The 27,811-nt window shown below is 56.5% G+C and overlaps 2 protein-coding genes across 11 annotated transcripts, besides 10 other annotated features; one reads left to right on the plus strand and one right to left on the minus strand.

The window, feature by feature from the left end:
* Positions 6-518: an enhancer, noted in NCBI's record as "H3K4me1 hESC enhancer chr16:30995997-30996509 (GRCh37/hg19 assembly coordinates)". NCBI's record gives its function as "activates a minimal SCP1, AML or CMV promoter by ChIP-STARR-seq in primed H9 embryonic stem cells {active_cell/tissue: H9 hESC(primed)}" and the evidence as "EXISTENCE:reporter gene assay evidence [ECO:0000049][PMID:30033119]".
* On the plus strand, positions 537-4,477 carry HSD3B7 (hydroxy-delta-5-steroid dehydrogenase, 3 beta- and steroid delta-isomerase 7). Of its 9 annotated transcripts, none has more exons than XM_011545961.2 (7): positions 537-627; positions 790-1,154; positions 1,379-1,534; positions 1,753-1,861; positions 1,935-2,034; positions 2,170-2,332; positions 3,098-4,477. In XM_011545961.2, exons 2-7 carry the CDS (start codon positions 989-991, stop codon positions 3,511-3,513), a joined length of 1,110 nt encoding a protein of 369 aa, XP_011544263.1. In that variant the 5' UTR covers positions 537-627; positions 790-988; the 3' UTR covers positions 3,514-4,477. The 9 variants fall into 9 exon arrangements, with proteins under 9 accessions (XP_011544263.1, XP_011544262.1, XP_047290672.1 ...); XM_011545960.3 differs by having other exon boundaries at positions 814-1,154; XM_047434716.1 differs by having other exon boundaries at positions 892-1,154.
* Positions 3,364-3,863: an enhancer, noted in NCBI's record as "H3K4me1 hESC enhancer chr16:30999355-30999854 (GRCh37/hg19 assembly coordinates)". NCBI's record gives its function as "activates a minimal SCP1, AML or CMV promoter by ChIP-STARR-seq in naive H9 embryonic stem cells {active_cell/tissue: H9 hESC(naive)}" and the evidence as "EXISTENCE:reporter gene assay evidence [ECO:0000049][PMID:30033119]".
* Positions 4,586-25,968, minus strand: STX1B (syntaxin 1B). Of its 2 annotated transcripts, none has more exons than NM_052874.5 (10): positions 25,697-25,968; positions 16,859-16,933; positions 16,424-16,523; positions 16,258-16,332; positions 12,832-12,905; positions 12,281-12,389; positions 12,013-12,086; positions 8,677-8,814; positions 8,460-8,570; positions 4,586-8,231 (listed from the first exon to the last, which is right to left on the minus strand). In NM_052874.5, the coding sequence occupies exons 1-10, from the start codon at positions 25,724-25,726 to the stop codon at positions 8,151-8,153; spliced, it is 867 nt and encodes a 288-aa protein (NP_443106.1). In that variant the 5' UTR covers positions 25,727-25,968; the 3' UTR covers positions 4,586-8,150. The 2 variants fall into 2 exon arrangements, with proteins under 2 accessions (NP_443106.1, XP_016878382.1); XM_017022893.2 differs by lacking the exon at positions 25,697-25,968 and adding an exon at positions 17,264-17,339.
* Positions 5,370-6,013: an enhancer, noted in NCBI's record as "H3K4me1 hESC enhancer chr16:31001361-31002004 (GRCh37/hg19 assembly coordinates)". NCBI's record gives its function as "activates a minimal SCP1, AML or CMV promoter by ChIP-STARR-seq in primed H9 embryonic stem cells {active_cell/tissue: H9 hESC(primed)}" and the evidence as "EXISTENCE:reporter gene assay evidence [ECO:0000049][PMID:30033119]".
* Positions 6,014-6,657: an enhancer, noted in NCBI's record as "H3K4me1 hESC enhancer chr16:31002005-31002648 (GRCh37/hg19 assembly coordinates)". NCBI's record gives its function as "activates a minimal SCP1, AML or CMV promoter by ChIP-STARR-seq in primed H9 embryonic stem cells {active_cell/tissue: H9 hESC(primed)}" and the evidence as "EXISTENCE:reporter gene assay evidence [ECO:0000049][PMID:30033119]".
* Positions 10,705-10,764: an enhancer, noted in NCBI's record as "active region_10742". NCBI's record gives its function as "activates an Ori minimal core promoter by ATAC-STARR-seq in GM12878 lymphoblastoid cells {active_cell/tissue: GM12878}" and the evidence as "EXISTENCE:reporter gene assay evidence [ECO:0000049][PMID:35858748]".
* Positions 10,775-10,864: an enhancer, noted in NCBI's record as "active region_10743". NCBI's record gives its function as "activates an Ori minimal core promoter by ATAC-STARR-seq in GM12878 lymphoblastoid cells {active_cell/tissue: GM12878}" and the evidence as "EXISTENCE:reporter gene assay evidence [ECO:0000049][PMID:35858748]".
* Positions 12,705-12,774: a silencer, noted in NCBI's record as "silent region_7407". NCBI's record gives its function as "represses an Ori minimal core promoter by ATAC-STARR-seq in GM12878 lymphoblastoid cells {active_cell/tissue: GM12878}" and the evidence as "EXISTENCE:reporter gene assay evidence [ECO:0000049][PMID:35858748]".
* Positions 15,817-16,317: an enhancer, noted in NCBI's record as "H3K4me1 hESC enhancer chr16:31011808-31012308 (GRCh37/hg19 assembly coordinates)". NCBI's record gives its function as "activates a minimal SCP1, AML or CMV promoter by ChIP-STARR-seq in naive H9 embryonic stem cells {active_cell/tissue: H9 hESC(naive)}" and the evidence as "EXISTENCE:reporter gene assay evidence [ECO:0000049][PMID:30033119]".
* Positions 16,318-16,818: an enhancer, noted in NCBI's record as "H3K4me1 hESC enhancer chr16:31012309-31012809 (GRCh37/hg19 assembly coordinates)". NCBI's record gives its function as "activates a minimal SCP1, AML or CMV promoter by ChIP-STARR-seq in naive H9 embryonic stem cells {active_cell/tissue: H9 hESC(naive)}" and the evidence as "EXISTENCE:reporter gene assay evidence [ECO:0000049][PMID:30033119]".
* Positions 26,004-26,505: an enhancer, noted in NCBI's record as "H3K4me1 hESC enhancer chr16:31021995-31022496 (GRCh37/hg19 assembly coordinates)". NCBI's record gives its function as "activates a minimal SCP1, AML or CMV promoter by ChIP-STARR-seq in naive H9 embryonic stem cells {active_cell/tissue: H9 hESC(naive)}" and the evidence as "EXISTENCE:reporter gene assay evidence [ECO:0000049][PMID:30033119]".

A 27,811-nucleotide genomic window follows, 5' to 3' on the forward strand; every position in this document is an offset into this window, starting at 1 on the left:
GGTCGGTGTATTTGGGCAGGAGCGAGGGGTTGGGGGTAGAGGGCACGGAGGGTTGTGCAAGTTGAAGAGAGGGAAAAGTGGGTACCTGAAGTGTGGGGCAGGTAAAGGGGCCTTCAGGCAAGAGCCCAGACCTGCAGAGACAGTCCGAGACTGTCTCGGACCCCCTGACAGGCTGCAGCAGCCGCACCCGCACCAGGAATACCCCACCAGTGCCCGCCAGGGTGGTGCCAAGGTCAGGCCTCCCCTTCCTACAATCACAGCTGCAGCTGGACCTCCGGCCTCCTGGGAAGCCCAGCAGGAGGGAAGGCCTGAGGTCACACTGTGGGATGAGGTCACCGCTGGCTCCACCCACAGCCCCAGACCCCTTCAGCCCACTCTGCAAGTTCGAGCTTCATCCCCACCAAGTTCTCCGCTGGACCCAGATGCCAGTGGAGCACAGAGCGGCCGCCAGGGGGCGCCTTGGGGCAAGAGTGGTGGGGGTTGTGGCTGGGCGGGTCTCTGTTCCTGGAATGGGGCAGGAGGGAGAAGGAGGAGCCAGCGGAAGGACGGTGTGCGGGCCGGCCAGCCCTGGACGAAAGAAGAGGGCCCCTCCAGGCCAGTCTGGGCACCCTGGGATAGCGGCTGCAGGTAGGCAGAGGCGCTGCCAGTGCCCAGGTGGCCTTTCCCTCCATCCGGCCCTTCCCACCTTCCTATAACCTTCCCTCCACCTCCCTCAACTCCTGGCCTCCCCACCCTTTTACTGCCTTCAAATCTCTCTCCCTAAACCCTGACCCCTTCCTGCACCCCAAGCCCGCCCCTCTCTCCGTAACTCAGCCATCAGCAGGGGCAGACGGCAGGTGGCCTGGTTGCTGCAGCTCCCAGGATCAGCTCTGCCCTCCCCGCAAACGCCAGCCTCGTCACCGCTCCAGGGCACCTCCAGCAGTAACAGGTGGTTGCAGCAGGTGGCAGCCAGCCCCTGGATGAGCCAAGGTCTCTTCCCCAGCCAGGCATGGCCGACTCTGCACAGGCCCAGAAGCTGGTGTACCTGGTCACAGGGGGCTGTGGCTTCCTGGGAGAGCACGTGGTGCGAATGCTGCTGCAGCGGGAGCCCCGGCTCGGGGAGCTGCGGGTCTTTGACCAACACCTGGGTCCCTGGCTGGAGGAGCTGAAGACAGGTTCTTGTTGGGGGAGCTTGTGGTGGAGAGGGTGTGGACGCTTCCCCAACCCTTCCCAAGCTGGGATCCCCACCCCTGCAGTGGAACAGATGATGCTGGTTTCTGTCCACATGGATGGGTCGAGTGAGTCACATTGGGAACGTGACTCCAGGGTGGAAGATGAACCCAGCCTCTGGCCTCTGGCCCCAGCTCTGACATGGCCTGTGTCCTCCAACCCCGGCCAGGGCCTGTGAGGGTGACTGCCATCCAGGGGGACGTGACCCAGGCCCATGAGGTGGCAGCAGCTGTGGCCGGAGCCCATGTGGTCATCCACACGGCTGGGCTGGTAGACGTGTTTGGCAGGGCCAGTCCCAAGACCATCCATGAGGTCAACGTGCAGGGTGAGGAGCTCTGGACACTCCTGGCCATCTTGCCTGTTTGTTCCCCACTCTGTCTTTGGCCTTGACCTCCGGTGACTCCCCTGGGACAAGTTGTCCTATTGACAGCCCTGCCCCCGCCTCCCCTGACCTGTCATGGTTTTCCCTGGACCTGGGATGGGGAGGAGGAAGATGCAGAGAGGGAAGAAGCTGCAGCTTGGATACGCCTCCTCCTCTGCCAGGTACCCGGAACGTGATCGAGGCTTGTGTGCAGACCGGAACACGGTTCCTGGTCTACACCAGCAGCATGGAAGTTGTGGGGCCTAACACCAAAGGTCACCCCTTCTACAGGTGAGTGGCAGGCCCTCTTGTCCTCTAAGAGCCCATTTCCCTCAGCATTGAGTCTTCCTTCTCCTCCCACCAGGGGCAACGAAGACACCCCATACGAAGCAGTGCACAGGCACCCCTATCCTTGCAGCAAGGCCCTGGCCGAGTGGCTGGTCCTGGAGGCCAACGGGAGGAAGGTGAGCCCAGAAAAAGGAGGCGCAGAGATGGGGCTCCTGCCCTGCACACCCCCTTACCCTGCCAGCCCAAGGAGGCCGGGGCCGAGAGCAAGCTGTCGGGTCCCAGGTCTCAGCAGTACCTGCCTTTGCCACCAGGTCCGTGGGGGGCTGCCCCTGGTGACGTGTGCCCTTCGTCCCACGGGCATCTACGGTGAAGGCCACCAGATCATGAGGGACTTCTACCGCCAGGGCCTGCGCCTGGGAGGTTGGCTCTTCCGGGCCATCCCGGCCTCTGTGGAGCATGGCCGGGTCTATGTGGGTGAGGACTGGGCTAGGCAGGGGGAGGCTGAGAATATGGCAGGAGGACTTGCTCTAGAAGGGGGCAGGACCCACATGGCCCTGGGAGAGAAGTGTGGACTCTGGCTAGAAAAATATGGTCTATACATGGGCCAAGGTAGACTGTGATTATGTCTCCACAGCCTGCAGAGAATACAGGATCCATGCAAGTTGGGACATTAAAAAGTGTATCATAGGCTACAGAGAAGATTGCAGCTATGGGAGCAGCCATTCCCCAGGAGAGGAGAGGAGAGGGACAGTGTGTACACAGCACTAAAAGGGCTGGGTTCAGTGGCTCGCATCTATAATCCCAGCACTTTAGGAGGCTGAGGCGGGAGGATGGCCTGAGCCCAGGAGTTGGAGGCTGCAGTGAGCTATGACCGCACCACTGCACTCCAGCCTGGATGACAGAGACAGACCCTGTCTCTAAAACTTTTTTTAAAGGAAGTAGCATCTACACAGGGAATAAGGTCACCTGCCACTCCATCCTGCAGTCCCCAAGCCTCTCAGGGCCCACCACGCAGGTCCTGGTTTCTCTATCCTCTCCCCAGGTTCTTTGCAGATGCAGGCTGGCCCAGGAGAGCAAGTGACTACCAGGGCGAGGGAGAAGGCAGCCTTTCCCAGGCTGCTGTGGGGATGTGGGCGGCAACTACCTGGGCCCAAAGAGGGGGTGGCCCAGGAGAGCAGCCTCGATGTGGTGTTGCAAGGGCACTCAGGGGTGTGTCCGCCTCTCTTCCGCCACCGGCAGGCAATGTTGCCTGGATGCACGTGCTGGCAGCCCGGGAGCTGGAGCAGCGGGCAACCCTGATGGGCGGCCAGGTATACTTCTGCTACGATGGATCACCCTACAGGAGCTACGAGGATTTCAACATGGAGTTCCTGGGCCCCTGCGGACTGCGGCTGGTGGGCGCCCGCCCATTGCTGCCCTACTGGCTGCTGGTGTTCCTGGCTGCCCTCAATGCCCTGCTGCAGTGGCTGCTGCGGCCACTGGTGCTCTACGCACCCCTGCTGAACCCCTACACGCTGGCCGTGGCCAACACCACCTTCACCGTCAGCACCGACAAGGCTCAGCGCCATTTCGGCTATGAGCCCCTGTTCTCGTGGGAGGATAGCCGGACCCGTACCATTCTCTGGGTACAGGCCGCTACGGGTTCAGCCCAGTGACGGTGGGGCTGGGGCCTGGAGGCCCAGATACAGCACATCCACCCAGGTCCCGAGCCCTCACACCCTGGACGGGAAGGGACAGCTGCATTCCAGAGCAGGAGGCAGGGCTCTGGGGCCAGAATGGCTGTCCTTGTCGTAGAGCCCTCCACATTTTCTTTTTCTTTTTTGAGACAGGGTCTTGCTCTGTCACCCAGACTGGAGTGCAGTGGTGTGATCATAGCTCACTGCACCCTCAACCTCCTGGGTTCAAGCAATCCTCCTGCCTCAGCCTCCTGAACAGCTGGGACCACAGGTGCACGCCACCACACCTGGCTTTTTTTTGTTGTTTTTAGAGACAGGGTCTCACTATATTGCTCAGGCTGGTCTTGAACTCCTGGGCTCAAGTGATCTTCCCACGTGGGCCTCCCAAAACGCTGGAACTACAAGTGTGAGCCACCGCGCCTGGCCCAAGCCCTCCACATTTTCAATCCAGGAGCCTTGAGTCTGTGTTGTGTCCTGACACCTCCAAGTTCTAGGGCCGTCAGGACACGGGAGGGTTTGGGGACAGAGTGTCCTTCCTCTGTCCTCTCATCCCAGTCCTGATGGCCGCTTGGTGAGTGTCTGGTGCCCTGGTGGCCTGCCCCAGCTCTCTTCTGGCTTTCTGAGCAGGAAGCGAGCAGAGGCTCCACAGGCTTACGCTGCTCTCCTGACAGCCACACGCGACCCTCGGTGCAGAGTGCAGAGGCGGCTCTGGTTCCTCCAGCCACCTCAGTCCCTCTTTGGGAGGTGATGTTCCCATTGTTTTTCAAAGGCCTCACCTTCAACTGTCTGTCTTAGAATTCCCCTCTGGAGGGCTATGGCCTCCCTATGCTTTCACTTCCCACCTCTCTACCTAAGTTCCTTCCCAGCACATCGCCAGCCCTGGGCCTGGGGATGTCCCCAATGCTGTACCTGGCTGACCCCGGATTAAAAGCCTCATCCACGACCGTGTCCATCTGTCTGTCCAGCTCTCCCTCCCATCCCCCCACCCCATGTCCGCCTCCCCACGGCGCCCATCCCACGTGGGGACAGAAGGAAGTGAGCACACGGCACACCCGCTGTTGGATTGGTTGCTATTTCTCCCGTCCCACAGGGCCTGACCTGGCCCAGGGTGGGGTGGGGGGCTCTGGGGACAGGACATGCAGGGAGGAAGGGGGGGGCAGGATTTTCCTGTGTTTTATCCATTTGCAAGTTGGTCACCAATAGAAATGGGACTCTGAGGGCTAACAGAAATGGGACTCTGAGGGCTAACAGGAGAGGGCGGCCTGGCTCTGGGCCCCAGCCAGGCCCCAGGAGTCCTGTCCCCTCTGAGAAGGGGAGGGAGAGAGCTCTAGAAACCAACGGAGAAACAGAGAAGGGGGCAGGGGCTCATGTCAGCAAACACGGCTACATCACGTGACACGCCAGTGACACAGAAACACACGCCAACGCACACGGCTGCACAGCGGGCAGGGGCGGTTAGGGGAAAGGGAGCCGGGGCCACCCATCTTGTCCTCTGCAGGGCGGGCTGGGGGGCAGGGTGAATGCATAGAACACATCATGTGTACACGCTCAGGGCGTGGCAAGAGCGTGTGTCGACCCACGGGTACATGGGATGGACACGCAGTGTGCTTCATGAGGGGTGGGAACAGGGAGGAGGGGGAAGAGGAGCACTGAGCCCTGGCCAGGCCCGGGACCACCCGCAGGGCACACGTGGGGCACATGTGGGCTCAATGGTTGCAGGCGCCTGGGCAGGTAGCACACATTTGTCCAAGAACATGCAAAAGACACCAGCCTCCAGACAACATGCCAGGACGCACACAGACAGCAGCCAACAAGCAGGCACATCATAGGATGTGGAGGACGCATAGAAAGGGCACAGCAGACCCTTAGAGATCCCCTGGTCCACCTGAGGCCCAGAGATGGGCAGCTGTGGGCCCAATGCCACTCCAGGTGGGGGGAGTGGTGCCCCAGCCACGCTTCAACCCTTCTCCTGTGGCCCCAAGGCCGTGGGACTTCCGGAAACACCTGGGCTGAATGGGGGTCCTGTCCAGGCGGCCGGAAGAGGGGACTGGGGGCTGGGGCCTGCTCTGATGTCTCCCAAGCAGCCCGAGATGGGAGCAGGAGGGCCGTGGCCAGACTTGGGGCAGACTTCCTGTCCTGCAGAGGGGCGTTCTGGGAAGGGACAGGCAGGCCCCCAGCTCAGGACAGCCCACCTGGGGTTACGCACGTGGCCACACTGACACACACACAGGACAAGGGAGAGCTCGGCTGTCTGAGCTCGGGTAGAGGTGGAGGGGTACTGTGTTCTGGGAGGTCACATCTGTTTGGCCACATGCACACACAATGCACACACAATGTACACACACATACAATGCACACACACGTACGCTTCACATGACCTGGGACCCTGGGGTCCGCACACACACACCGAGTGCCTTGCCTGTGCACACATAAGCCCCATGCCAGGGCATGGCACATTTGTGTACTTGTGTGTTCACCTTTCATGATCCTAGACCACGGAGTGGGGACCTCTAACACTGTCCTTTCTCCCACGCACCACCTACCTGCCACCAAACCCACAAATTGTGCCTGTGCTGGCTACACAACAGGGGAGGTGCTAGCCCCTTCCTCACACCAGAAATCCAGGCCTGTGTACCCCTCAGTCACACCCTGGTGTGGGGAGCAGCCTGAGGGTTCAGCAGGAGAGGTGTCGGGGATGGGTCTCAGGACCCAGCCCACCCTGAGTGGCCACTGCCACACTGGCCACTCCAGTACTTCTGAAATAGACATTTCCCCAAACCCGAGTTCCCTGAGGCAGAGCCCAGAGCATCCGATGGGGCAGTGGGGGACACACAGTCCTCTCCCAGGTCTGAGGTGGGTGTGTGAGGAAGGGGTCGTGTCCTGATCTTTGATCCCTGCAGGGAAGTCCTTGGCATCTTGCCTCATCAGTAACATTCCTACAAGTAGCCCTTTCCTTCCAGGAGGCATTCGTGTGATCCCCGCACCCATGCCAGCGTGCATGGTTTGTGCCTGGTATGGCCCCTGCCTGGGGCCACCTCGGCCTTGCCACGTGTGAGCACACTGAGGGGTACCAGCTTCCAGGGGCTCGGGGCTATGCTGGGCAGAGACATGGAGGAAGATGAGGATCTAGGTGTGAGCATGCAGAGCCCTGAGGCTGGGCAGGCAGGGAGCTCTGCCTGCACAATGATGTAGCCGTGTGTGGCCACACCAGCACTGGGCAGCACCTCTGGGGAGGGGGGCAGGGCAAGGACAACTGGAGAGACAAAGCCAGATGGGGCCACGTCCTTAGAAGTGTGTGTGCACGCACGTGTGTGTGTGTGTGTGTAATACGCAGGGCAGAAACACACCATGTAGGTCAGGCAGGACAGAAACACATCATGTAGGCCAGGCGTGGTGGCTCAGGCCTGTAATGCCAGCACTTAGGGAGGCCAAAGTGGGCGGATCACCTGAGGTCAGGAGTTCGAGACCAGCCTGGCCAACATGTCAAAACCTCATCTCTACTAAAATTCTAAAATTAGCCAGGCGTGGTGGCAGGCGCCTGTAGTCCCAGCTACTTGGGAGGCTGAGGCATGAGAATCGCTTGCGTCAGGGAGGCACAGGTTGCAGTGAGCTGAGATTGCGCCACTGCACTCCAGCCTGGGTGACAGAGCAAGACTCCGTCTCGAAAAAAACAAAAAACAAAAAACAAAAAAAAATTAAAAAGCACACCATGTAGAGAGCCCCTAACACACACACACACGTGCATACACACGCACGCCACACACACACAGCTGCATTCTAGGTAGCAAGAAATACACATTTCTGTGCCCTCCCAAAACAGGTGTCCAGTCCACAGTGTGGAGGGCTCTATCTGAGAAGACCTATCAATACTTCAGGCACATCCTGGACACACACACACACACACACACACACATGCACACCCTCCTGGGACATGCCACAGCCCCTGGGGTAACAAAGACATGGGGTGTCTGCCATGGCCTGTGTGTACCTGGGCCTCCCTGGATCCTCTGAGAATGTGAGTGTGAGTCCACACACACCACCTGCCTGGTTTGTAGCAGACACAAAGGGCTCAGGTATCAGTGGCTTTGTTGCTGTTGCATTAGGTTCAAACACTGAAACACAAAATTCCACGTACACAAATGGTGTGTCCACAGATCTGTGGTCTCACGCACGCACACACACTGTTCACAGAGGACAGAGAGGGCGTGATGGACTGCTGTGTTACACTTGGCTGCAGTCTACACAACAGCCCCGGTGAAGGGGGAAGCTCAGACCACGCACACACACCCAAGGTGGGGGTGGAGGGGGTGCTCTGGTGCATCACACACATCACACGCACACGCACGCTGGGGTGTCCACACGTCTCGAGCATGTGCCGGCGGCATGCATGTTGGTGTGCATGTGTAATCACGCCTGCTGCGATCTACGTGCGGGGACGGGGGGGGGGTCCATGGCCCGGTGAGGTCCAGGGACACCAGGGTCTGCCGTGGGGGTGGGGCTGCCTGGGTCTGTTTTGGGAGTGAGCCTGGAGCAGGGGATGGAGTGAAAGGGGTGGTGGGGGTATTGCTCCCGATGTGGTGGGGGAAGGGTCTGGGAGAGAGAAGGGTGGGGGGGGCCTACAAGCCCAGCGTCCCCCCAATGGATGACGCCAAGACCACCCCCAGCACCACACAGCAAATGATGATCATGATTTTCTTCTGCAGCAGAAAGAGGAGTGAGACAGGCAGACAGTGAGAGAGATCGACACACGGACAGATGCAGGGACAGACAGGGCAGAGGGTGGCAGGGAGAAGAGGGGAGAGAAAACAGAAACAGGAAGAGGTCAGAGCCAGAGATAAGGCCTCCCGCCCGCTGCCATCACTCACCTCAGCCCGGGCTCAGCCTTGGGCTCCCCCGCCTACCCCCAGGCCGCCTGCCCCGCTCACCCTCCGGGCCTTGCTCTGATATTTCACTGCTTTCTTGGTGTCAGACACAGCTCGCTCCACGTAGTCCACAGAATGTTCCACGTTGTACTCGATGCGGTCAATCATCTCTCCCTGCAGACAGAGGAGACATGCACAGGGAGGGATGGGGGCTGGGCTGGAAGAGGGGACCTCAGGCCCAGGGAGGCTCCCAGAGTGGCATGGGTGGCAGAGCCAGTACCTGGCTCTCTACGAGCATGGCCATGTCCACAAACATATCGTGCAGCTCGCGGATGCTGGTCTCCAGCTTGATGATCTCATTGTGCCTCGTCTCAATCTCATTCAGCGCCTGCTTCGTCATCTGTGAGTCCATTTTGATCTAGGGTGACGAGGGAGAGAGCTACAATCACCCTTCTCCGCCATGAGCGCCTCCACCGCAGTGGAGTGGCCAGGGTCAAATCCGGTGTCATTTACTAGCTGAAACCTTAGGCACATTATTCACCTGCTCTTGGCCTCAGTTTCCCCACCTAGAAAATGTGGATCATAACACTGCCCACCTCACAGGGTGGTTGTGAAGACTGAGTGAGTTAATATGTACACATTGGTCAGGCACGATGGCTCACACCTGTAATCCCAGCACTTTGGGAGGTGTGTAGATCACCTGAGGTCAGAAGTTTGAGACCAGCCTGGCCAACATGGCGAAACCTCGTCTCTACTAAAAATATAAAAATTAGCCTGGTGTGGTGGTGGGCACCTGTAATCATAGCTACTCAGGAGGCTGAGGCAGGAGAATTGCTTGAACCCGGGGGGGCAGAGGTTGCAGTGAGCTGAGATCACGCCACTGCACTCCAGCCTGGGCAACAAGAGTGAAATTCCATCTCAAAAAAAAAAAAAGAGTCAGGGCTGGGCACAGTAGGTAGCTCATGCCTGTAATCCCAGAACTTTGGGAGGCTGAAGCGGGCAGATCACGAGGTCAGCAGACCAAGACTATCCTGGCTAATGCGGTGAAACTCCGTCTCTACTAAAAATACAAAAAATTAGCCGGGTGTGGTGGTGGGCGCCTGTAGTTTCAGCAACTTGGGAGTCTGAGGCAGGAGAATGGCGTGAACCCGGGAGGCGGAGCTTGCAGTGAGCCGAGATTGCGCCACTGCACTCCAGCCTGAGCCACAGAGCGAGACTCCGTCTCAAAAAAAAAAAAAAGAGTCAGTAGGGAGAGGCCTGTAACCCCAGTACTCTGGGAGGCCAAGGCAGGAGGATCACTTGAGCCCAGGAATTTGAGGCCAGCCTGGGCAACATAGTGAGACTTTGTTTCTATCAAAAAAAAAAAAAAAAAAGGAAATTAGCTGGGCATGGTGGCGCCTGTGGTCCCAGCTACTCAGGAAACTGAGGCAGAAGGATTGCCTGACCCCAGGAGGTCGAGGCTGCAGTGAGCTATGATTGCTTCACTTCACTCCAACATGGGCCACAGAGTGAGACCATGCTGAAAAAAAAAAAAAAAGAAAGCCAGTGGGGAAGAGACCGTGACCCACAGTCAGATATGCCTCCTCTCCACAAACACCCAGCCTCAGCCAGGTGACTCACTTCCCAAATTACTCACTGTTCTTACCACATTGAGCCACTCCTCTGCTCTACAGCCTGCCATGGCTCCCCACTACCCAAGGCTCCACACCTTCCCTTCAGCAGTCAAGGCCCAGACTCCCTCTCCCCTCATCTCCTGCTCATCCTATGACCATTCTATAAGCCGAAATCATACAATGGCTGTTTGGACAGTGTTCAGTCTCCCCGTCTTTTTTTTTTTTTTTTTTTTGGTTTTTGTTCTTTGTTGAGACAAGTTCTTGCTCTGTCACCTAGGCTGGAGTGCAGTGGTGCTATCATAGCTCACTGCGGCCTTGACCTCCTGTACTCAGGCAATCCTTCCACCTTAGCCTCCCGAGTAGCTGGGACCACAGGCACACGCCACCATGCCTGGCTAATTAAAGCAGGTTTCACCATAGAACTGATTTGCCTACATTAAAAGAAATTGTTTTTTAAATCAAAAAAACATTTTTTTTGTAGAGATGGGGGTCTCACTTTGTTGCCCGGGCTGGTCTACGAACTCCTGGGCTCAAGCCCTCCATCCTCCTTGGCCTCCCAAAATGCTGGGATTACAGATGTGAGCCACCACACCGGGCTGCTCAATGCGTTTTCAACAAAGATCAGTTCTCCAAATAACAATGAGCTGAAAACTTTTAAGACAGTCATAGCGCATCCTTTAAACCTGGTCTAGAACCCTTAACCAGAGTCATTTTGCCACCAGAAACAGAAACGGAGACAGGAGTGGGCAGGCCGGGGCAAAAGTCCACTGAGAGAAACAAGAACTAGGTTCGGGGAAAGCCCATCCTTTCTTTCTTTTTTTTTTTTTTAAGAGACAGAGTGTCAGTCTGTTGCCCAGGCCGGAGTGCAGTGGCAAGATCTCGGCTCACTGCAACCTCCGCCTCCCAGGTTCAAGTGATCCTCCTGCCTCAGCCCCCTAGTAGCTGGGATTACAGGCACGTGCCACCATGCCCGGCTAATTTTTGTATTTTTAATAGAGACAGAGTTTTGCCATGTTGGCCAGGCTGGTCTCGAACTCCTGACCTCAGGTGATCTACCTGCCTTGGCCTCCCAAAGTGCTGGGATTACAGGCATGAGCCACTGGGCCCGGCCAGCCCATCCTTTCATATGTAAAAGGACAAGGGCAGCACAGGGGACAAAACCTAAGCAAAACTAAAACTTGTTTTAAAAAAAATATTCAAAATGTAGGCAAATTAGGCTGGATTCGGTGGTTCACGTCTGTAATCCCAGCACTTTGGGAGGCTGAGGCAGGCAGATTATTCGAGCCCAGAAGTTTGAGACCAGCCTGGGCAACAGAGGAAGACCCCCCATCTCTACAAAAAAAGGTTTTTTTAGGCCGAGTGGTGGGCGCCTGTAATCCCAGCTACTCGGGAGGCTGGGGCAGGAGAATCGCTTGAACACAGGAGGCGGAGGTTGCAGTGAGCTGAAATCTCGCCACTGTACTCCAGCATGGGTGACAAGAGCAAAACTCCGTCTTGAAGAAAAAAAAAAGAAAAAAAGTTTTTTTTAATTAAAAAAAATTTCTTTTAATGTAGGCAAATCAGTTCTCTGGTGAAACGACTTGCTTCAGTAGCAGAGTATGTCGTGTATCCTAGGGCTCGAGAGTTCTGACTCTGAAACTAGACAGGATTCAAGTCCTGGCCCTCTCCCTCGCTCTGAGATCTTGCCAAGTGATTTCATCTCTCTGGGCCAGTTTTCCTCATCTGTGAAATGGGGTTTCCTCGAAGGGGATGTGTGAGTATTAAATGAGTTGGTGGGTGAATGTGAAGATGGAAAGTGCTTAGAACAGTGCCTGGCACACGAACGACTCCGTCATCTGATGGGGGTGCCTTCCTGCTCCGCTCCCATGGAATTCCCCAGTTCCCGGCTCAGGCTTCCCGCTGCTCATTTTTCCAGGGTGGACTTAGGACCTTAGTTCAACCTGAACTTAGGGAGGGGAGGCAAAAATTTTCCAAAAGCAGAGCCCGCCCCACCCGCGGCTCACGTCATCTGTGAAGATGGCCAGCTTCCCGCTCTCCAGCATGTCTTCCAGTTCTTCGTTGGTGGTGGTCCTTCCAGCTGCGGGAAGAAAGGACTCCCTGCTCGGGGGCTGGGACAGCCTGGGGGCCTGAGGTGGGGTGATGGGGCGGGGACCTGGGGCCCACCCTCCCACGCCGCCTTAAGCCAGGGGCCCCCTCCAGAGAGGAAATGCCTGGAAGGGGGCTTGGGCAGCCTCAAGGAGTTCGGGGTCCTGGGGTGGGGGGCACACGCACTGATCTCCAGTTGCCGCTGGATCCGGTCCTTGCAGCGGTCCCGGTACTTGGACTGGGTCGCGTTATATTCGGTCATTACCTCCACGAACTTCCGGGACAGTGTGGAGTGCTACGGTGGGGGTGGGGGGACAGACGGATCAGGGAGGTAGTCAGGGATCAGGGAGGGAGTCAGGGAGCAGAGACCGAGGCAGGTGAGGAGGCAGTGCATGGGCGGAATAAGGAGGAAGCGCTGAATTAGTTTACGGTCCCTTCTTCAGCTCTGGCCGCGATCCCAAACCCTGACAAGTTCATGGTTCCCTACCCGCCCGGCACCCCCATCTTAGGCCAACACCAGCTAGAGACACTGCTACTGCGCTGAGATGCGGCTCGACCCCGCCCTCCCCGAGAGCCCCGCCCAGGGCCCCGCCCGCTCTAGCCTCGCCCCCAGAGCCCCGCCCCAGCCCTCCCTGACCACGCCCCCGCCGGTGCTTGGCCCTGGCCCGCCGGCCTCCAGCCTGGGCTCCTCCCGAGCTGGGTCCCGACCCGACCCCCAATGGGCTGCCGCCTCCTACCTGGGTCTTGCGGATGCGCAGGTCCGCGGAGGAACGGTTCAGCCCCTCCTCCTGTTCAATGCTTTGCTCGATCGCTGCGGGAGAGAGGGCGCAGCGATGGGCGGGAGACCCGGGGCACATGGGGCGAGGGTCCGGGGCGTACGAATGGTCAACACCCCGCGGCAGCGCCAGGCCCGGGGAGAAACGTCATCCCCAGGGCGAGTTGCGGGCAGCGGTGCCCCAGGGTGGTGTTAGGAGCCAGCAGATAAACAGACGAACAGACGTTTGAGGGGGTTCCGAAGGCAGGCAGGAAGGGATACTGAGGGTCAGAGGGTCACCAGACAGAAGGGGGCTATTTGTTCTAGTGGCAGAACTGGGTCTTGGAAAGTCCCATCAGTGGTAATTCCTGTCCAACTCCATGAGGGCGTGCCGGCCCAGCCCGCGTGAAGGGGCCATGTATGTGGGGTGCTCCCTACTTCCTACAGCCTCTGGACAGGGGGCAAGAACACAGCCTGCCTTTTTTCTGATGGAAGGCAGTCACCTCCAGGTGGATCAGGTTCTAGTGGCCCCTCTTTCCCAGGGGAATTCAAGGGCAAACACATGGATATTCCAAGGGAGAAAGCAGCCCTCTCCCTGCCCTGTAAGGTGATCCCCGATCCGGGAATTCCCACTTCTGAAGGACGTTCTGGAAAAGTGCACAGATTAACTGAGATTCCTGCTTCTGGATCAAGCACTCCTGACACTATCGTTCCGATTTTCTAAAAAAGAGATTGTGGCAAAATCTACCTCGGTGAGATCAGAAAATGCAGCAGGGATGAATCACCGGCCCTCTCAGACCTCACCAGCCTCCAGGCCATTCCTAAGAGCCTCACTCCTCCGTTCTGTTGGCAGTGGGGGAGGTACGGGGCCGGATGGCACCCCAAGGCTCCCCCGATTGAGTGACAGCTCTGGCTCAGCAACACATGGCCCAGGGATATTGGAATCGGCTGGCCCAGATTGGGGCCCGACTGTCAGCCTTGGGGCTGGGGTCAAGTCCGGAGGGAGGGGTCTCTTACAGGATCTCATTGACTTTTTACAACATTCCTGGGAGTTCAGTGATATCAGCTCATGTTTTAGACTAGAAACTCAGTTTCCAGTGGGCAAAACCACTCACTCAAGGTCACACCCAAAGCCTGAGCTCATGCCACCAGCTGGAAGAGGACTAAGAGAATCCTCTCTCCTTTCCTGGAGGTCTGAAAGGTCAGCTTCTCTAAACCACGGCCACTTTTCCAGCTTCTTTCTTGGTCTATTCCTGAACCCCTCACCCACAGAGCCCTCCCCAGGGTCTTACAGAGAGTGTTCAAGGTCAAGGCTTGATGGACCTAGAGAAACCATTGAGCCCAGGGGATTTTAAACTGCCAGCAGGAACCTTGTTTCTGAGAAGGAATTTCAGGGGCTGTTGCAGAGAATGAAGAGAGGTCAGGCAGGTAGGTGCTCCCAGCTCCAGCTCAGCTAGAACAACCTGACTTTTATGTTTTATATATTGGGATTCTTTGTATGACTTTGGAAAAAAAAGTATTTTGATGCCCTCCACCCCCCACCCCCAAAACAAGCTAATTTTGAAATTGCTTTCATTTGTCTTACTGTACTGATAAGGAAGCTGAGAGTAGGGGACTTGTCCAGGGTGAGCTGATGGTGGAGGTTAGACTCTGTCTGCCTGGATTTGCACTTAACATGCTCCCAGATTCAGACAGTTTCCATCCAGCAGACTCTCCTGAGTACAAAGGGCTTGTTTTTACAAATCCACATCTGAGGCTCACATATGGCCTCCCCTCCAGTCCAGAGGGCATGGAGTTACTACCCTTCTCTCTCTGGGCCAAGGTCAGTGTTCTCCAGGCCAGGTAGCTGATATAGCTCCTCTTCCCCAAAGCCTAGCAATGTGCCTCGGACATTGGAGGTGCTCAGCATATGTTTTCTGATACTGACTTACCAGGAGCATGCAAAACAGCATGCCAGTAACACTGCTATTTCCCTGGTATGAGCAGACAAGGAGGTTCCCAACCCACGGTGCTTTGGGGGAAGGTGGTTATTACCAGCACCCAAGTCCTTAAATTAGAGTGAATAAATGAACATTTGGCAAGTCCCTCTTGAAAGCTCGCCAGCCCCTGATGTCAGCCACACAAGTCCAATCTGTCCTGAGCCAAGGATACCGATTCAGAGGCATTTGCTGGGCCCACCCACTGGGTGCTCTGTGCCATGCCGGGGGCCTGCTCAGGAGAGATGAGGACTTAATGAAATCGAAGCCACTCGGAAGATCACCTTTTTCTGGTGAACCTTCATGCTGGTGGAACCAGCAGGGCTCAGATGCAATTTAGACAGTCTCCTTTCCCTCATTTCCTATCATATATCTTTCTCCAAAGAACTGGAGCAAGGGGGAAAGCTGGGGTTTTGTGCTTTCTGACTGTTTAATAATCTGGCTCCTGGAACTTTGTAGAAATTCCTTAGAGAAAGGCCTGTTTTGCTCAATGGATGGCAAAGTTCTTTTTTTTTTTTTTTGAGAAAGAGTCTTGCTCTGTCACCCAGGCTGGAGTGCAGTGGCGCGATCTCGGCTCACTGCAACCTCTGCCTCCCGGGTTCAAGTGATTCCCCTGCCTCAGCCTCCCAAGTGGCTGGGATTACAGGCGCCTGCCACCATGCCCGGATAATTTTTGTATTTTTAGTACAGATGGGGTTTCACCATTTTGGCCAGGATTTGGTTAGGATTTTGAACTCCTAACCTCAGGTGATCCACCCACCTTGGCCTCCCAAAGTTCTGGGATTATAGGCATGAGCTACCACGCCCAGTCCCTTTTTTTTTGTTTGTTTGTTTTTTGTTTTTTTTTTTTTTGTTTGAGACAGGGTCTCTATCTGTAACCCAGGCTGGAGTACAGCAGCATGATCTCGGCTCACTGCAGCCTCGACCCCCTGGGCTCAAGCGATTCTTGTGCCTCAGCCTCCCAAGTAGTTGGAACAGAGGCACGTACTACCATGCCCAGCTAATTTTTTTTTTTTGAAACAGAGTCTCTCTCTGTCACCCAGACTGTAGTGCAGTGGCGCGATCTCAGCTCACTGTAACCTCCACCTCCCGGGTTCAAGCAATTCTCTGCCTCAGCCTCCTGAGTAGCTGGGATTACAGGCGCCCGCCACCACACCCAGCTAATTTTTGTGCTTTTAGTAGAGATGGGGTTTCACCATCTTGGCCAGGCTGGTCTTGAACTCCGGACCTCGTGATTCACCCGCCTCGGCCTCCCAAACTGGCCCAGCTAATTTTTGTATTTTTTGTAGAGACAGAGTTTTGCCATGTTGCCCAGGCTGGTGTTGAACTCCTGGGATTGAGCAATTGGCCCCGCCTCGCCCTCCCAAAGGCCTGAGCCACCATGCTCCACCCACAATTCTTTTCCTTCCTGGTTGAGGGATTGTACTCCTCACCTTTCAATTTGGACCGAACCTTGTTGGCCGTCTTCTTGATGTCTGCAGTGAGATCCTCCAGCTCCTGTTTGGTCTCTGAGGGGAGGGCGAGGGCAAGTGAGATGTCTGGGTGGGAACCCCAGGCCCCTTCTCCTCCCACCCCACAGTCACCGGCAGCCACACTCACTCTCATCTGGGTTGGGTGCGGCCAGGATGGCGCTATGCTGTTTTTTCACCTGCTCCACATCCTCCGACAGTTTCTCAATGCAGCCCCGGATCTCTTCCACCTGGAGCAGAAAATCGGCTATACCCAGCCAAGCTGTCAGGCCAAACAACGGGTTCCAGGGGAACCAGCCAGGGTTCAGGGGAATGGACCAGCCCCAGAACGGCTGATAAAAGGCCAGGGAGGGTGCAGGAGCAGGGAAGTGGGGGACAGGGAAAAGGAAGTTGTCGGTGGCTAGGGGCTGGGTGCCGGGGCTGCGGCTGGGCGGTGGGACTAGGGGCTGGGGCTGGGTGCTGGGGCTGGGGCTGGGTGCCGGGGCTGAGGCTGGGCGGTGGGACTAGGGGCTGGGGCTGGGTGCTGGGGCTGGGGCTGGGGCTGGGGGCCTTGGAGGCCCATTACCTGTTCAAAGAACTCATCCATGAAGTGGTCCCGATCCACGTGGACCACCTCCTCTTCATCATCACTGTCTTTCGCCTGGGGACAAGGAAGGCTGAGTCCATGAGCAGGCCCTACCTGGGTCCCCAAGGCTGGCTCTCCAGCTCTCCCACCCTCTCCCTGCTATGCACACACAGGTGCTCCCAGCTCTAGGCTCAGAGGAGGGGTCCTGGGAGGGGTCCCATGCAGGGTAGATGGCAAAGGCACCAAAAGTGTTTGTCAGCCCAAAGGATTCCTTAGAAGGAATTGGAAAAAGACCCCCTCTCAGGGTGGATGTGGCCTTGGGGGCGCAGAGCCAGCCTTGACCAGCCAATAGGGATGATTTCAATATTTCAACAACGGCTCAACGTCAGGCTTGCAGTAACTGACCCTGGGCTCCATGAAGGGTCCTGGACTAGAGTCCCGGGAGCCTGGATCTCCCTACTGTTCCTGCTCTCCTGCCCAGATCTCACTTTACTCCTTCTCTTCCTCTCCTGCCCCACCTGACCAGACATGTCCCCTGTGCAAGGTCACTTCACTGCCAGCGGCAGGCGCCAAGTTGAGCAAGCAGTGAGGGCTGGATAAGAGATACGGGCAGCACCCCGACCTCCCTCGCGCCCTGTGCCCCCCTCTTCCCGCCCACTCTCCCTCCCCTCCCAGCCGGCTCTCCCTCGCAGTGGATTCACTTGCTTTCATCCAGCCCCTTCCAACTTCACACCCACCTACTCTTGCTGGCTTGGATTTCCCAGTTGCAACCTGCAGCTGCTCAACCCTCCACCCGCAGGGCTCAGAGACACAAAGAGATTTACCCACCCACAGCACCACTGCCACCGACAGACAGACTCGAGACACAGACAGAAGAGCTGACACCCAAGGCACACAGGAATAGGCCCCCCCGACACCCACACGGAGATGCACTGATGCTGGCGTTCACCCGCACGCAGACTCACAGCTGAGCCGCACTGACATGTGTGGACACACTGGCTTTCAGCTGCACCCCTGAGGACATTTGGGAGGGCTCACTGGGCTTGTTCTTCCAGCTTCTCCGAGCCTCATGTCTGCACACACACTCAGAGCTGGACAGGAGAGGCTGTAGGGGAGGTGCCCTGTGCTACACACACCTGAGTCCTTCTCTGCTTGGGACAGAGGTCTGACAGCAAAATCTGAGTCCATCAAGCTTAATGACATCTGGAGCCCTGATCAGCCCCAGTGGAAATGTATACAGAGTTCATTCTGATTTCCAAAAAGAACCCAGCCAGAGCTCAGACAGAATCCAAACCCCAGAGGCTGGGTGAAATCAAGACAGGATCCAAACAGCATCCACCTGGGGGTGTACTCAGTTGGAATCCAAAAAGAAGAGCTTGCCAGGGTCCCAGCGGAACGCAGACAGGGCCTAACAGAAACCAGACAGGCTCAGACTGAACTAGCCGAGGCTCACACGGATCCCAGACAGATCCCAGACAGCTCAGATTGAACCTAGACAGGGCCAGATGGGACCTAGGTGCAGTCCACACAGCCAAAACTCAGGATCAGCAGTGCCCCACAGCCCCAGGAAAAGCCAGCACAGCCTGGGGGGCCTCCAGCTCCACGCTCCTGAGCCACCCCAGCCTCCCTGCTAAGCCCAGCCCAAATGGAACTCCAGGGAGTCTTCACACAGACGCTGGGCCCACACTGTGTCGGAAAATGTGTTCAGCACTTGTGTTGAATTTCCAGACAATCCCAACCATCCGCCTGGAAAGGGAGTTTCCTCTGTCTTGGCTCACAGCTGCCCCCAGAAAGTGGGGCGGCACAGGTGGCATAAGTTGGGGACCCTGAGAGGCTCTGGGATGCTGGGCTCACCTCTGAGGACCCATCGGCCTACCATGATGCTCTTCACTTTCTCTGTCCTCAAAATCCAGCTGTGCTACAAGGCCTCCTTCCCCTAGAGCCAAAAGCCTTCCTCTGCCCTTTCTCTCCCTTCAACCACTCACTCAGCCACCAGCCTCACGCAGGTCATGCGGCCTCTCCCTGGCCCGGGTGCCTGAGGACTTTCCTGTTCTCTGTGTCTCTCCCTTCCCCATGCTAATGTTAGGAAGTCTTTCCTAAAATCTAATTTCAATCTCTCCTGTTGTTCTTGGAGCCACCTCCCTTAGGTTCATCTCTGGAGCACCCTGGGCTACCTATTTGTTTGCCCTCAAGACAGGAAGAATGATAGAAGGCCCAAGTGTGGTTTATTTGGTATAATAAATACAAAGAGAGCTGGGAGCTAATAATCCTCTACCATTTACAAACACTTTTACATCCATAATCCGTTTTGATCCTCAGCACCACCAGCCCTGAGAGAAAAGCTGCATAAACATCATCGTCCCCATTTCACAGATGAGGGAACAGGAAGCCAGGGGGGTAAAAGGAGAGTGACTTGCCCAAGGGCACCCAGGCCACATAGGGCCAGAAAACCATGGGCATCCAGCCCCTCAAAGACCGCTGTTAGGCTCCAGACTGGGCTACCTCCCCCACTGACTTTCCGCTCCCAGTTACTTTCCCTCTCAGTGAGCGCCTGCTAAGTCCCAATCTGGGGAAGGCTCTGTGTCCGGACAACCTAGCAAAACAAGAGCACTTGATGGTATTTTTTGCGTAAGTCTTACATTCTTGTTATCTCATTTAATCTTCATTAGGACTCTGTAAGGACCATTGGCCAACATAATTATACTTATGCAAATATTTAGATGATGTTTTACAATGTGCCAGGCACTGTTCTATGTGCTCCACATATATCTATCCATTTCATTCTTACAACAGTCCCCTTGGAGGTATTATTATAGCCCCCTTTTATAGATGGGGAAACTGAGGCATAGAGCTAAATAACTCAGGCCAGTTGTAGTGGCTCACGCCTGTAATCCCAGCACTTTGGGAGGCTCTGGTGGGAGGATCACTTGAACCCAGGAGTTCAAGACCAGCCTGGGCAACATAGCAAGATCATGTCTCTACAAAAAATACAAAAATTAGCTGGGCATGGTGGTGCGCACCTGTAGTCTCAGCTACTTGGGAGGGTGAGGTAGGAGGATCCCCGGAGCTCAGGAGGTCAAGAGACTGCAGTGAGCTGTGATTGTGCCACTGCACTCCAGCCTGGGTGACAGAGCAAGACCCCGTTTCTTAAAAAAAAAAAAAAAAGAACTTGCCCCAGGTCAGCTGTTAGAAGACCATTTGGCTCTACCCCTGAGCCTAGTCTCTGCATTTGCTGAGTGGTAACAATGCCTACCACCGGCTGATTCCATGTTACAGACAAGGAAACAGGCTCAGAGAGGTTGCCTGACCTGCCTAAAGCTTCACAGCAAATGAGGCCAGAGGTAGGACCTGAACCCAGGACTGTCTGGCACTAAATGTCAGGCTCTCTCCCTTCTGTCCTGCTGACAGATGGCAGTCCCTCCTGGTCCTAAAAAGCCCACTCTGCCATGTCCTCAGGACTGCTGAACTCCTGCAGCCAGGACAGAAAATCAGTAGGAGGGGCCCAGGGCTGCAGGAAGAGCTTGGACAGGAGGCCATCCCTCCCAGCCTCCGTCTGTCTTGCTGTGTGACCCCAGGCAAACTTAGACTCCTCCCTGGGCCCCAGTTCCCTCATCACTGAAATGAGCAGACTGGTGCAAGTGCCCACCCTGCTCTGAAGGGCCCTCCGTGCTCTGAGTGATGCATATTTAGTAATGAGTACAGCATCCATTTCTGGAAGAAGTTAGGCCAGCCAAAAAGAAAGCAGGCTGTGGGCAAACCAGACTACCTAGGAAAAGATGATCAAATGTGCCCCAGTCTACTTTATGGTGGCCTCAGGTTACAGGTGAACGATTCAAGCCTCAGTTGCCTCATGTGCAAATCGAGGATGTAACATATATGTGCTGATTACCACGAGTTGGGTCCTATTACAAGTGCTTTGCATTTCTTTTTTTTTCTTTTTCCTTTTTTTTTTTTTTTTTTTGAGAGATGGGATCTCACTATATTGCCCAGGCTGGTCTCGAACTCCTGGGCTCAAGAGATCCTCTCTCCTTGGCCTCCCAAAGCGCTGGGATGACAGGTGTGAGCCACTGCACCCAGCCTGCATCTCTTGTTTAATCCTCACGACCACTCCATGAGGTCATATTCTTATTCTCACTGGACAGATGAGGAGGTGGAGGCGCAGAGAGATTGGGTAACTTGCCCAAGATCACACAGCTGATGGGATGACTCAAACTCAGGCACTCTGCTCTACAGCGCACAGCTCCTTGAGCACTTGAGAGGGATTGAATGAGAGAGTGCAGTGCCCCTGAGCCCCTTCCAGAAGCACCTGGGGACTGCGCACATCAGATCCAAGCCTCCAGCTGCAGCCTGACCTCCTCAGGGGCCCCCTAAGTCCAGGTCTTCCACACCAGAGCCACCACGGGCCTTGTGTGTATGTCGATGTGGAGCGACGGCAAGGACAGATACAGAAGCGGAAGGAGGAGAGTGACAGTGAGAGCCAGCAAGTCAGTGACCAGAGAGACAGATGGTGAGACGGTGACAAAAACACAGAGGCGGCAAGAGACTGGAATTGGGTGACAGAAAAGTCAGAGAGAGTGTGCGTGTGTGTACGTGTGTGTGTGTAAACATATGCGTGCCCCAGCACTGACACACACGGGCTTCCCATGCTCCTCAGGGGTGCAAGCATCATCGTTTGATCGGAGGCAGCAGCCTCCCCCTGCGCCCTTTCCCCCACCCTCTGCTTCAGTCCATCTGTCTCCCTGGCTGGGGCCTCTCCTTGCTCCCTCCCCCTGAGCAGCCTGGCCCTCTCACCCTGACCTCTCTCCTCCATCTTTCCTGCCTTACCCCCTGCCCCTTTCTCATCCTCCCTCTGCTTCATGGAGTCATTCATTCATCTAACGGATGTGTCTGATTTGTGCCAGGTACTCTTCTGGGTGCTGCTGGCGATGTGGTGGTGAAGAAGACAGGCGAGGAGGGCCTGCCTCCAGGGAGCTGGCATTCCAGTGGGGGAGGCAGACAATGGGAGGTGAACAAGACCATTTCAGATTGTGCTGAATAGCAGGAGGGAGATAAGCAGAAAGATGGAATTGAGAGACATGGGAATTGGGGGGGATTGTGGAAGGATTTCTACAGGACAGTTAGCAGGGCTTTTCTGGGGAGGTGACATCTGAGCTAGGTCCTGAAGGAGCCAACTGTGCCACAGTGCTGGGGAAACAGAATTCAGGGCAGAGGGAACAGCATGCTGGGCAGAGGGAACAGCATGCGCGAAGGTCCTTGGACAGGGGTAAACTTGTGTGTTTGGATAGCAGAAAGAAGCCCAGTGCCAGCCGAGCGCGGTGGCTCATGCCTGGAATACCAGCACTTTGGGAGGGCGTGGCGGGAGGATCATTTGAGGCCAGGAGTTCAAGACCAGTCTGGTCAACATAGACCCCATCTCTACAAAAGCAAAAAGAATTAGCCAGGCATGGTGGTGCGCATCTGTAATCCCAGCTACTCGAGAGGCTGTGGCAGGAGGATCCCTGGAGACCAGGAGGTCAAGGCTGCAGTGAGCTGTGATTGCACCGCTGCACTCCAGCCTAGGTGACAGAGGAAGACCATGTCTCTAAAAACATTTTTTTAAATATAAATAAAGGCAGCCCAGAGCAGCTGGAGGATATGGATCCATCACCCAGGGTTCGTTGGTCTCTGCACCCTGTGATTTCAGGGCTGCGTTTCTAAAGCACCTACTGTGCCTGCCTCATACCTGAGGGCCTTTGGGGCACGGGGCGGTCCCTCAGCAGCCTTCATCCTGTCCAGCCTCAGATTCAGGCTCCTGCAGTGCAGGCCCCACCTTCCTCCCAGGGTGTCTCCGCACTTCTCCCACCCGACTCCACAGCTGCGTCTCAGACCTCAGCCCTCCCTGTGCCCCTCCTGTCTTCTCCCATAACCCACCTTCCTCTCCACCTCACTCACTCTGCTCTTTCCTCTGGAGCCCCACTCTGGCTTCACTCCTTAGACCCTGGGACACCTATTTAGCTGATTAACTCCTTTTCACAGCCTCCACAACCAGCCTAGCACCAACCAAGGTTGCCTGGTAAACTGGACGCAGAAAACCCTGGTTCAAGCCCACCTCAACCATTAAAAGCTATCTGACCTTGGACAAGTCAGGTTTTTTTTACCCCCTCTGGCCCTCAATGTACTCCAAAATAAAATAGGGGCCATGTCCTGCCCATCGCAGGGGGCTTGTGTGGTGTTGAAGAGAAATAAACAAGCCATCTGCTGGGTAACAGACACACAGCACTGCTGGGCGCCAGGCCCCCTCCTAGGCACCTGATGCATATTAACTACTTCCAGTCCTCAGGACAACCCTGTGAAACAGGCACTCTTACTTCTCCCAACTCATACGCGAAGAAATTGAGGACCAGAGAGGTTAAGCAACTTGCCCAAGGTCTCACAGGAAGTAGCAAAATTAGAATTTGAACCCAGACAGTCTGGCTCCCGAAACCACTGTGTGACAAACGGACTTGAGAACCCCTTGGGAATGCCAAGGTACTGTTGGAAAGACAATCAGTCCCCTGGGCTAATGTCCCCTCCCACCACCGCCCCTGCCTCATCCCTCCCAGTGTCTCAGAGACCCCGTTTCCAGGTCCCCCACACCCTGCCAGGTGTCTCCTGCATCCCAGGCTCCTTGCTTTCAACTGTAGCAGGGAGACCCTTACGCTACCTGAATCTGTCAGCTTTTCCCACCCCGCCCGCCCCCTCTTGAATCTCCAGTTTCCCTGAGCTGTGACTAATACCAAAGCCACCACATCCACTCAGCCCCTTCACCCTTCCACACCACCTCCGGCAGCCACAGCCAACAGGATTCCTTACCTCTGAGCAGGGGCCCCTGACTCATTCATGAGGCCTCCCCCTCCCCTGCCTCCCCCTTACCCCGCTTAGCCTTTTCCCTCCCTCTTTCTCGAATTGTACCCCAATTCCACACCACCTGATCCCAACCCACTTCCATTTCCCTGGGTTTTGGAGTCATGGAATAGTCCTGGTAGCAGGGGAACTGGGTTCAAGTCCGGATCCCTCACCTGCTAGCTGTGTGACCTTTGGAAAGTTATTCAACCACTCTGGGCCTCAGTTTCCCCAACTCTAAAATGAAAGAGCCTCCCCGTCCACTTGCCAGGAGGTCAGTGGGGCTCTAATGACATCACGGATGAAAGCCTGCTCTGCAAACTGAGGAGGGGAATTGACAGCACCGATGCTGAAGCCGGCCTGCCTGGGTTTGAATCCTGCCTTTACCAGCTGTGTGACTTTGGTCTAATTACTTAACCTCTCTGAGCTTAGTGTCCTTATCTATAAAATGAGATAACATATATCTATATATCTAAAAAGATATTTATATATCTATGAAATGAGATAACCAGTCTCATAGGATTGCTGTGAGGATCAAAATGAGTGAATATGCATAAAACACTTCAAACAATGTTTATTATTACTGTCACTTTCCTCATGCCTGAGTGTATATTCAGTAAAAATGTAATAAAGAAACCTTTAAAATTCCCTCCCTCAGCCACCAGCTCCTCCTTGCTTCCCATTTGGCAACCTGTCTGTCCCCAGAGACAGCGGTCACTTGCCTCCAAACACCTTCTTCTCGTCTGTCTGTAACCTGGGTCCCCACCCCCAAATCCAGGGGACAGCTCTTCACCCCCAGTGCTGAAACTTCTGTTTCAAAGGCCAGAAAAGCAGAGACCTGTGTCAACCTAGCAGACAGGAAACCCAGATTGCAGTCTGCCCCCCACCCACTTGCTTGGTGACCTTGGACAAGTCCCTTCCCACGCCTGAATCTCAGTTTCCTCATCTGTCAAGTGGGGTAATAACCCCTGGGGTAACAACCCACCAGTTCCCTGTAAAGGCTCAGTGCATTGGGCAGCTCAGCCGGGGCCGGTACCCTTATTAACATAACACCACCAGCCCAGCACAGTGCGGACTGTCAGTGCTGCCTCCTCGGGCCCCAGGTCATTTCTCCAAATACCCCAGCGTCCTCCCTGCCCCTGAAACCATTCTCATCGAACCCCACTCCCCAGTTCCTCCAGGTAGCAGCCTCCACTGCAGTCCTTCCCCTGTCCCCCCAAAACCAGGGACTGCCTGGCCAGACTCTTGGAGCCGGGCCTCTTCAGGCCTGCAGACCTGGGGCCTGCATCAGCCCTTGACTGCCCGGGGTGCCCCAGTTCCCCCAAGCAGAGCACGGCCCGTGTTCCATGGCCCTCTCCTCTGCATCCCCATCTCCCACCTCTGGGTCACCCTGTCTCAGGCCCTGGCCCTCTGGCTCTCTCCGGAGGCCACCTCTTCCCTCCCTGTCTCGGAGAGATGCCCCCTCCCTATAGGGAGTGACACACGCGTGTGCACACACACACACACTTCATTCACTGCCAGGTGCTGGCATCTCAGTCCCAACCTGTGTCCTTCCCCGTAGCATCCCCTGAATCTGGGTCCTGCTAGACTCTCAGCCTGGCCCAGTCACCGCCCCCATGCTTCTCTTTGGCAAACCTGCCCAGGGGATGACAGTCTCCTCCGGTTTCTCCTGATATCCACTCTCTCCCATCCCCAGACCAGACCCCGGGGCCCTCCTGGGAATGCGGGGTGTTCGAGGCCCCTGAGACCTCTCCTGCCCCCTTGTGTCTTCATGGCCTCCAACCCCTTCCAGGCACTGTCCCCAAAATGCAGGTTCACTGGAGAGACATCAGGCGCCTGAAGATACTGGGGTGCTCCGGCTACCAACCTCCGATCTCATCCTTCGCCCCCACGTCCCAGCACCTCCCCCACTCCATCCCCACGCGCTCCCCCAATATTGGGGTCCCGCCCCCCCATTCTCCCCACCCCCAAGCTCACACTCCGCAGCTCTTGAGTCCGATCCTTCATCCTGCGACGGCTCCTCCTCCTCCTCCTAGTCCTCCTGCCTCTGCTGCTGCTCCGGGTCTCCCGCCTCTGTGCCGGAGGCCGGGGTCTGGGGGCGCCGGGGGGCGCCGCGGCCGCTGCGGGGGGCCTGCGGGCGGGGGCGGGGCCGGGGGCGACTGGCCGAGGGCCGGGCAGGGGCAGGGGCCTGGGCCGGGCTCGGCTCTGCCGGGCTGCGGTGGCGATGCGGCTGCGGCACAGGGTAGGATGGAGGGATGCGGGAGCCGAGCGCGGGGGAGGGGGGCGGAGGGAGGTGAGGAGGAAGCGAGGGCGGGGGGAGCGGGAGCGCGCAAGGAGCAGGGGGCATGCGCAGCACCCGGGCCGGGGGCGCCTGGGGGTTGTAGTCACGGGCTTGGGGGACACCCGAGGAGGGGGCGGGAGAGGCCTGGAGGCGGGTGGGGGTGGGCAGAGCCCGAGGAGCAGGGAGAGATGCGGAGAGCCAAGCGGAGATGCTAGGGTGGCCCGGGGGGTGGGGTGGCCCGGCGGAAAGAGGGGGTGACGGAATGAATTCAGGGAATAACCTGGGAGCCAGGATGTGGATCCCTTTCCAGGAGACACAGATCGCGGCTGTGTTTTGTGTCTGGTGTCTGCGTGAGGCTGCGCGCCGACCACCTCTGGGTGCGAGCCCATGTGTGTTCTTGCAGGAGGCTCTTTGGACACTATAAATAGAAAGACCGACCCTCTGTGTGGTTTTTACGATGCAGGGAACCAGCCAGGTGCTTGCTGAGAAGGACACGGGGCTTGTGTTGCACAGCCTGGGCCTCTCCCGCCGCGGTGGGTCTCGGAGCTCTGCTTGTCTGCCTCCAGGGACAGGGTGCTCACTACCTCCCAGGACCTCTTGGCCCATCTGCAGATGGCTCTGACTGTTGAACATGAAATTTGTCCTTAGTGGGAGGGGAAATCAGGTGCCCCTGAGGGTCTGAGTGACCTCCTGTTCTGATGCCCACCTCTCCTCTCCCCATCCTTACACCACACCAGCTCCTCCCACCCCCTGCAATGGGGCGCCGGTCCCCAATGGGACAGGTCTTGACTCTCAATCGATCCTCCTGCCTCAGCCTCCCAAAGTGCTGGGATTCCATGCCTGGGCCACCGCACCCGGCATTCTCTTGCCAGGTACCCAGTGACCTCCTTGGTGCCAAATCTGTGTCTGATAAACCCTCATCCCACACCGCCAGTCGGGCCTTACCATCCCTGACCTCTCAGCAGCATGTGACCCTGATGAGCCCCTCTTCCTGAAACCCTCCTGTCTGTGGTGCTCCGCCCACCTACCCCCCAACCTGATCTGTGAGTGTTGTCTCCCAGCCTCTTTCCAGGTCCTTACCTTTTTTCCCACAGCCCTTCAACCTCAGGGTTCCCTGGGCTCCGTCCATTCTCTCTTTTTTTTTTTTTTTGAGTTAGGGTCTCATTCTGTTGCCCAGGCTAGAGTACAGTGGTGCAATCTCGGCTCACTGCAGCCTCAACGTCCCAGGCTCAAGTGATCCTCCCACCTCAGCCTCCTGAGTAGCTGGGACTACAGGCACGCGCCACCACACCTGGCTAATTTTATTTTTTGTAGAGACAGGGTCTCACTATGTTGTCCAGGCTGGTTTTGAACTCCTAGGGTCAAGCGATCCTCCTGCCTCAGCCTCCCAAAGTGCTGAGATTACAGGCCTGGGCCACCATGCCTGGCATTCTCTTCCTTCTTTACCTGCATCTTTCTGCACCTCCGTGTCTGCAGTGCCCACATCTGTACCTGCGAGCCAGATCCTCCCCCTGTAAGACAGCCCCTACTATATGCCTAAGCTCTGAGCTGGGCACCAAGAAGACAGAGATTGAAGATGCCACCAGAGCCATGAGTAGATCCATGACTACAGTGGGCATGGCTAGCGCTGACGTGGGGACCTCAAGGAGGTGGCTGTCCCCAAAGTGTTCCTTCCTGTGTTCTCCCTCAGAGATGGCGTCATCTCCATCCACCCAGCCACTCAAAGCACAGAAAGCTGTCCTTGCCTCCCCGCCATTATAATGCCAGCACGTTCTGGGCATCCAACGTGTTGCATTCACTATGCTGGTAGC

Source organism: Homo sapiens, chromosome 16 (assembly GCF_000001405.40).
Source record: "Homo sapiens chromosome 16, GRCh38.p14 Primary Assembly".
Taxonomy (NCBI): Eukaryota; Metazoa; Chordata; class Mammalia; order Primates; family Hominidae; genus Homo; species Homo sapiens.